The sequence below is a fragment of the Homo sapiens genome, chromosome 21 (assembly GCF_000001405.40).
Source record: "Homo sapiens chromosome 21, GRCh38.p14 Primary Assembly".
In the NCBI taxonomy this organism is placed as follows: Eukaryota; Metazoa; Chordata; class Mammalia; order Primates; family Hominidae; genus Homo; species Homo sapiens.
The window spans coordinates 13,344,244-13,353,878 of record NC_000021.9 but is presented as its reverse complement, the minus strand read 5'-3'; the positions used below and the strand labels follow the sequence as shown (position 1 = coordinate 13,353,878).

Here is a 9,635-nt window from a genome sequence, read left to right as displayed (position 1 = left end):
TGTGCTGTCTGTGGTGGGCCCCCTTTGCATTATTCTCTAACTTCATATTTTATACCTCTACTATTAGAGAAATTTCAGTAGAAAATCGTGAGGGGCACCGTTTTAGAGTTTTTGTTGTTATAGGAATGCTTTTACCACAGCTAGGTCCCCTCGTACATCTTTATGTTCTTTGGCAGTCTAGAGAACCAGAAGAGCAAACTCTATGAGATAGAAACCCTAAGAATTTACCTCCAGCATCCCTTCTCTTCTGTCATTAAATTGAATTTGTAGCCAACTCAAAGGCTGACAATTTATACTATGGTTTTTATATTTTTATATTATAATTTATATTATGGTTTATGTCAAAATGTTTTGTTCACTGCTTTGAAAGTATCTTCTGTTTACTTTTGTTATCATTTCATATTTTAATTTTTTCCTTTCTAATTGTTAGAAACTCATGTATTTGATTTTATCTTTCAAATAACATTTTTAAAAGGCTTACTCTGTTTATATGTATATTTTGCACAAAGCTTTCCATTCATAAACAAAAGGTGAATAGGAATCTGAATTGAAAACTACATAATTTCTTTTCTCCTTTTTGTCAAATCATCACAGTATAGATTAGTCATTCTGTATGAAGTGCATTGCCAAGACATAGTCACATTTGTGTACAAATGTAAAGGCTATATCTCAATAGAAATCAAAAACAAAAAAATGCAGAAGACCATTAGCTAATAATACTAATGATCTAGTGTAGAAAGCATGTGCCAACTGATCTAGACTCTTGTGACAGTTGTATATCTACCCAGCTGCATGACCTTAGGTTTATCAAAATCTCGATCTCCTAGACTACAAATGAGTAAGAGGGATGGAGGCCCCTTACAGTTTTAAGATTCTAGAATTCTAAGTGTGTGTAACTGGAGCAAATTTTATTTTCTAAAATTTGCATAATTTAAAAATAGGAGAAAAACAAATAATTAAAGTACATATTTCTAGAAGTCTTTTTTAGGTGATTTACACTACCAGGAATGGATTTACTACTAAATATTGGTTTTGCCTAATTCAGCATTGCTATGTAATTGGATGGAAGTATAACTCCATAGACAAAGAGCATTTGGTCCTAACATAGCTTGTATTTTATATGTATATACACTATTTCTATTTAAATTTCTGTGTAGTCATGTTTTACCCTTTCAAAATGAAGATTAGTTTTATTATGTATTTTCTTTTGTCTATAAACATTCAATGAATTCACACTGAAAACTGATTATGAACAGATAGTCTGGTAGGCACTAAGGAAACACATATGAAAGACTAAGTCCTCCTCTGCCCTCAATATGCTCACAAGACTACAGTTACTGAAGCCTGATTTCAAAACCTAGCTAGCAAAGTCCTTGAAACAGGTGATAGTTCAGAATACCATTCATGCTCTCTCCCAGGAGTATATCTGAGGAAGGACAGTTCTTTCTAGTTTTCTGCATCCTGGTCGTATAGGTCAACCACAGGAAAATTAAATGAATCTATTGTTTTGTTGACCTAGCCTTTTCATATAACTCTCATCTATAAATGTATTACCAAATACTATTTATGTAAAGGGACTTGAATGACAAATATTTTGAAATTAAAACCACAATGGTTACAAACCTTTTAAATTAGATAAATGTTGACCTCCCATTGGTGAACATATAAAGTGCTACCAAGATCTGCCAATGAAAGACTTTGGAAGTGGAAATTCATCTTTGTAATAATCCTGTTATCTGTAGGCTGACCTCAAGCCTTCATGACATTCAGGGCCCCTTATTCCTAACTGTATCTTCTATGTTGGGCATTGTGCTCTTGCATCTAACAGGAAAACAACTTTCAGTGTTGCCACCTTTTGAACAGCAGAGATTTCTAAAGATTAGAAAATTACTAAATTTAAATATACATAGTTTTAAAATATGATACTTTTCTACCCATGCATTCAAATATATTCTAACTTTAAAATCCTGTAAATACTTATATTTGTAATGATTTTACTTATATGATCCAATTAATTGGCAAGAATATGTGGTGAAAGATTTTTTACATATTTGTATTGTTCTGTGTGAGACATCTATTGTAAGCATTGCTTCAGGCTCTCATTTTTGTCTGCCTTCCAGGATTTGCTGGCTCAAGTGCTGTGTGCTAGACTTAGTGTCAGTCACAAAGGGGAGGGAAACTTGCAGTTGAGCCAGACAGTTTTGTTATTCCTTTAAAATTAAAAGCATATGAAACAGATACAGCTTATTAAGGTTTTTAATAAATAAAATAAACTTAAATAACAAAACAATAAAATTCAAAAACAACTTAAAATAGAGTTTAATGCTGTAACCGTAGGAAAAAAGCATGATTATTTGTGGGAAGAACATTATTAAAGGCCATATTCCCAAATATGAATTATACAAAGATAGATTATGTTACTTGAAAAAAACTTAAAGATTTCTCAATTTTACTTTGAGGAATTATAAAATGTTATTTTGTGGCAAATAAGATGAAGTACAGTATTATCATCAATCACTGTTGCTATCTTATATACAAGATTTTTGGAAACATCCTTTTAGCAATACCCTTTCCACTTGAGCAGCATTAGAAATTTTGTTCTTGTTAATAGGTATAAGCATGTTCTAATCCTGTACTTTTGTTAAATTATCTATTTTATTGACTTTCATAATAGATTTTTTTGAGAATATTCTTTTTTTCTGATTAGAGTTTAAGTAGATTATAATTTTTCACTAGAAAGCATTTAAAAGGCTGCTCATTTTCCAAAGTTAGTGTGGCTTGATTATCTGACAAATCCTGCCAGCAGCCTGTAGGTCTGATATACCTTATATAACATCATCTGCATTATTATTATTATAGCAGCCATTTTATAAGCAGATAGGAATATTTAAATAATCATTATCAGGTAATCAAATCTAACATACTCTTAAGGGTAAATTAATTTAAAAAAATTACCATTACTAACATCATGATTGTACAACCAGTTTTACAATTTTGTACAACCTTTAGTTACTAAATCTGATTTTTGTGTATACTTTTCAAATCTTTCTTTAATGCAGTGTCTTAAAACAAACATAAATGCACAAGTCCAGCTTGATCAGTTTTTCAGTAGTTTTCCAGCCTTTCTTGATTACTAAAAAATAAAAGGAAAGAAAATTTTGAGAAGAAAGAAAACAGTCCACTTAAAGAAATCTCCCTGCTGGAACTGGTTCTTTATATACCATATGCAATTAAGTTATTGCCATAGGAACAAAGTGGGCTGTTTTTGTTCTTTCTTCATTTTTTTTCCTTACAGGAATCCCCTTTTGATTTAAGGCAACAAACATTTCCCCTCCATTGTGTGTCCATTTAGCTGAGGCATATGTGTTGTAATGGTTTTCCAGAATTAGTCCTTTGAAGTTACAATCTTCATTGCATTCTTTCTGTTAAAACAAACAAACAAACAAACAAACATGATCCAAATGATTTTTAGAGAGGCTCAATTAAACGAAGAGTAAGCAGGTAATATTTGTTAGAATTGAAACATACACAACTTTTTTTAACCCTCAGATTGAGCAGGCCTAATGTGGTTTATTAGCTATACTTATGTAGTATATTTGCATAAAAAGGTATCTTAAATTTGAAATAAAAACACCACATAATACACAGCTAGTTATGAAATATGTGTAGCTTTTTGGAAGTTCATGTCAACTATTCTTTAAAATTAGGACCTATTTCCCCCTAAGTAACAGGCCTCATATTACTATTCCCATATCACTCATTCTTTAACCACTGGAAATTTGGTATAACTAGCAGAACATCTGCCTCCCTCGGTGAGAGACTTGTTTCATAACTTTTCTTTATTTACTTCTACATTGTCTTCAATGGTAATGGAAGATAAAAGGTTAATTTGTTTGTTCATGCACGCAACCATTTGTTCATTCAATTAAACCTGTATCATTATATAATTAGCCTGCTCCAGGCATTATACTGAGCTCTGGGAATACAAAGGAAAGCCAATCATATTTTATTACAGTGGGATGAACTGTTACATATTTTGCATTGTAGTGAAGTGGGAACAATGTGAATAATTACAGTTCAAAGCCCATGATTGTGAGATTGATGTTGATGAATGAACTAAACATTTCAAGATTTTTTCCCAAGAATTTTCATGTCAGCAATGTGCAAATTGGGTGAACTTTAACAAAAAGAGCTTTAATACTGGCAAATGGAAATTTTGGATTTTAAATATCTAAAATGCACATGGAATTTTAGAGCTGGAAGGATCCTTAGAGGTCAGCTAATTCAAATCATTTTACAGATGAAGAAACCAAAATCCAAAGAACAAGCCATTTGTCCAAAGTCACACAGAAAACATTTTTTCTTAACGTTTGAGTATAAAGTGTTTTAATAAAATCATTAAATTACACAGTTGGAGATAAATTAAGTCCATTTTTCCTTTTCAGAATGGTGAGATATTTTGACAAAAATGAGTTTTAAAAATTAAGCCTAAGCGATCAATTATCAATACCTTTGCATAGAGTTTTCCTTCCTCATTCATTGCAAGATAGAATTCACTTTCCACCCCTTTGATTGCCACAATCCCAACTGCCACTGTCCTGATTTCCATGATATCTGCAAGGAATCACAGAAAGACATGTCAGGTATTCGTTCAGCTTTGCCAGTGATCCATGAATGGCCATTTGTTCTTATTTCTGTTTTAATCGGAAGTTTTTAAAATTTTTAGTGATTATTTACGCAGCCCAAAACTCTGACCCACAACAGATACACACAAACACCAGAATAGTCATTATATAAGGGAAGTGCAAACTGACGGTTTTTTATTTTGTAGAAAATGTGTCTGTATCAAATAAATAGTTACATATTTGAGTTCAGCTTTTTATTCTCTAGAATTAAATTTCTAATTTACTATAATAATAATAGCTAATGTTTATTTAACTCATACCACATTCCAAGGATTATTGCATTGCTCTTATGTATTAACTCATTTACTCATAACCACAGATTGAGGCAGGTAGTCTTGTTATCCCAGTTTTACAGATCAGGGAACTGAAGCACAGAGAAACTAAGAAATTTGCCCAAATTCTTATACCTGAGAAGTAGCAGAACTGTAATTTGAACCCAGACATTCTGGCTCTTAATCATTATATAATTACTTTTCTATTTGGATAAACTTTATCTTAAAAATTATGGCTAACAGAATAGCTCTTGAATATACTGAAAGTGAAGAAAATTCTAATTAAAGCAATTGTAAATGATGGTAAACAGAGCCTACTGCCTTAAAAAAAGAGATTGTTTTAAACTGATAGTATTTTGATACATGAAAAGACCATTTAAAACAAAATTATGAATCCGGTTTATATAATACTTCATAACTTTATACCTTTGTAATTAACTTTTAAATCTTTGTTGAAATAGTATTTACAAAACGTGTTTACACAAGAATGGTAACTTACTATTTTCCTTTATTACATATATCGTCCTTAAATCCTGTGTTTTAATGACACACTAAATAAAGTAAAATCTCAAGAAATTTATTAAAATGATGTAAGAATTAAAATTTTAGTGTACTTTTATGCAATTTGCTATTAATTACATTTTCTACATGAAGGTACAGTGCTGAGACATTCTTTTACCTATGTCTAACACAGTGCAAAGAAAAGTCGTAGTGTCAATTATCTGTGTGATTGGGCCTTCAGAAGCTATTTTCTAAAATATTGACTTAAATAAAAAACTAATTGTTTTGCCCCATACCTTCACTTCATTCTCTTATTTATTTTTTTGACTTCATTTTTGCTACCTGGATAATAAAATTTCTATTCATGTCATTGGGATTTAATGTAGCCCAGCTAATATTTCTCATTTGCCTCACATATATGTTGCATATAAAGCCCTGTTCCCAATATACTATACTTAACACTAGTCAGAGCTCATCCAGTTGAGAGTTTCACAGCTACTCATCCAGAAATTGGGTTTAAGAAAATGTAAATGAATGGATATTAATCTTTTTATATATTTATTAAGCATTATCACAATGCATACAACCCTACTGTGGTTTTAGGACACAAATTAAGAAAAACAGCCCTGGTTTCTGACACCAGAAGTTAAAACCTAATAGAAACAGCAAACACGTCCATATATTTTGGAGAATTTTGAAGAACACAGGCCTGAATAGGCTAGAGAAAATTTTAATAATTGCTTACAAGCACATGAAGGATTATGATGTTGATGCATTCATGAAATGTTCAACAGATCTTCACTGAGAGCCAATTCTATGCTAGGCTCAATTCACAGACAAGCCTTGCCCTTTTAGAGCACTCTATTTGGTAACTACAACTTCATTGCATTAAAGGAAGCACAAAGGGAAATAACATGCAGAAGAATACTATTAGGTTAAATTTGTACTAATACAATGAAAAATACTGAAGAAATTCATTGATTCAGCATATTTGCAATACCTCCAAAATGGAATAAATGTATCAGTTAGGTTGGTGCAAAAGTAATTGTGGCTTTTGCCATTACTTTTATGACAAAAACTGTAATTACCTTTGCACCAAACTAATATTTAAAAGACATATGGAGTAGTTGGTTTCTAAAGGTCTTAGCATTGTAAAATATCATTAATAAGTCAATATTTTCTTTTCCTTCAAGTCTCTTTACTCCTGCCATTCCTCCCTTTATTTAATATATTTTCTTTTAGATAAAAAGAGAATGCTGATGCACAAGCTTAGAGTGTCTTTCATGATCAGTTATTAGGGACTGGAATCTGTAATATTTGCTGGCTTTTACAGAACAATTGTAAAACATAAATGTTGACTGACAGAGTTATTATTAATTATGATAGGCAGACATCTTCCCTTTTTGGTCCTGTCATGACAATAAGTTCATATTGTCCCACTCCCAAAACATTTTCCTCTATCCCCTGCCTGTCTATTGCCCACTATTTCTTTACTGCACTTTACAGGAGGTGATGGCTGGATGTGGTAGCTCACACCTGTAATCCCAGCACTTTGGGAGGCCGAGTCAGGCAGATCACTTGAGGTCAGGAGTTCAATACTAACCTGGCCAACATGGTGAAACCCCGTTTCTACTAAAAATACAAAAAATTATCCGGGTGTGGTGGTGGGTGCCTGTAATCCCAGATACTCAGGAGGCTGAGGCAGGAGACTTGCTTGAACCCAGAAGGTGGAGGCTGCAGTGAGCCAAAACAGTGCCACTGCCCTCTAGCCTAGGCAACAGAGTGAGACTCCATCTCACCAAAAAAAAAAAAAAATAATAAATAAAAAAAATTAGTTGGGCATGGTGGTGAATTCCTATAATTCTAGCTACTTGAAAGGCTGAGGCAGGAGAATCACTTGAACTTGGGAGGCAGAGGTTGCAATGAGCCGAGGTCACACCACAGCACTCCAGTCAGGGTGGAGTGAGGCTCTGTCTCAAAATAATAGATAAATAAATAAATAAAAATAAGGTGGTGAACATTTTTAATCTTATCCCTCCACATATTAGGGTTAAGGATACCAAAAATTCTTTGTAAAGATTCTACGTTTAGCTGAGATGAGAATATACTTATATTCTTAATTGCTTGACATATTTAAAAAATACCATTCACACTGGGAAATAACATATCTAAAAGACAATTGCTTGGGGAGAGCATTAAGCAGTGTTGGCAGAATCAGTACCTTATCAACCCTATTTTCTAGTCTATTTTGTTCCATATCCTATGACCCTCTTTTATTCAAGAAAAGCCCAAGAATAAAGAAATTAACATTATCACTCTTTTGTTCAGTTGCAGTGTAGGGAGCGATGTTCCTTTCAATAGGCACAAATATTTATAGAAGTGTTAACTATGGGCCGGGCGCAGTGGCTCACGCCTGTAATCCCAGCACTTTGGGAGGCCAACGCGGGCGGATCACCTGAGGTCAGGAGTTCAAGACCAGCCTGGCAAATATGGTGAAACCTCATCTCTACTAAAAATACAAAAATTAGCCAGGCATGATGGTGGGTGTCTGTAATCCCAGTTACTCGGGAGGCTGAGTCAGGAGAATCATTTGAACCTGGGATGCGGAGGTTGCAGTGAGCCAAGATTTTACCATTGCACTCCAGCCTGGACAACAAGAGCTAGACTCCATCTCACAAAAAAAAAAAAAAAAGTATTAACTATGAAATCCTACCCTCCAAAACAGAAGCCACGAAGTTGCTCAGAAAGCATAATAGAAAAATATGTAATATGCAGATATTAAGTTAGTTAACAATATAAGTTAATTATACTTGGTCTTTTTGTCTACAGTGTATCCGTTGCCTCACATAAAACAAATAGAAGAGGCTGTCTTTCTTTGTGGATTTCCATTTGTGCTTAAGAGAAGTTTGTTCACATAAGTAGCACTCAGTAAATTTATTCCCAAAGATTTAAAGCATATTACATAGATGCATCAAATTGTTAACATAATGTCCATGATAGCATAATGGTAGAGTTCAAAAATATAAATAAAAGAGAGAGAGAGAATCAGCTCTTGCAATAGAACATGAAAAACCAGGCAATATGTCAAGCACATTGACCATTTAGCCTTGCCAGCAATATTGTCAACAATAGCATAAATTTATTACTTAGGATGTCACCCTTACACACTAGAGACTATGCCCTAAATAGCTTCCCTATTGTTTATCATCTGGTTCAATAATTCGTGAATTTATCTAAACTTTTTTTTCTGTTTATTATTTAAACCTGTATCACACTTGGAATGAAAAGTGGGGAACTTTGATCTAAATTGCAATTACTTTTTAAAAAAATTCTCTAAAATCTTTCAGAATTTTAGGTGTCCCTCTAATCTTGTATTTCAGAAATTGATACTAATTCTTTTTTAATTACCAATAGGTTTGTGATTTTAAAGTGCTTTAACTTTCCTGTTTTAAAAATTACTTTTCAGTGTCTCACTACACAGAATCCATGCCCACCAATCTCAGCATCATTAATATTTCTTTTTCGTGAAACTGTTAAAGCTTTATATTTAAAGTTTTGAAGGGGTATATATTAATATGGCTGTGCTAGCATGATAACTAAATATTATTTTCAAGTTGCAAAAAAAAGTGGAGGCAGCGGTTTGATAGTTAGCCAATCAGAACATTTAATCTTGTCCTTGATCAAGTATACCCTCTTCGGCATGTTAAAACTAAGAACTAGTATCAACAAAGAAAAAAACATTTAAATTTAAATACATTTTATGATTTTCTGTCAAGCCTGGATTGTTGAGTGGGAAATCTTAACCATTATATATTTATATTATGTTTAAGGCTATAGATTCCATTCATTTTACGTCACTAAAATACACCGACATATACATATATGCAAAAAATATATCAATATATCCAACATATACAAAAAACACTGAAAACACAACAATAAGAAAAAAAACCTAGTTAAAAAGTGGGCAAAATCTGGACACCTCACTAAAGATACACAAAGGGCAAATAAGCAGATGAAAAGATGCTCAATATCATAGATCATCAAGGAATTGCAACATGGATGCAGCCGGAGGCCATTATCCTAAGCAAATTAACACAGGAACAGAAAACTGACTACTGCATGTTTTCACTTATAAGTGGGAGCTAAACACTGGGTACTTAGGGACATAAAGATG

At 32.8% G+C, this 9,635-nt stretch overlaps 1 pseudogene; it reads right to left on the bottom strand.

Moving 5' to 3' along the window:
* Positions 1-218: 218 nt before the first annotated feature.
* Positions 219-4,614, bottom strand: FGF7P2 (fibroblast growth factor 7 pseudogene 2; annotated as a pseudogene).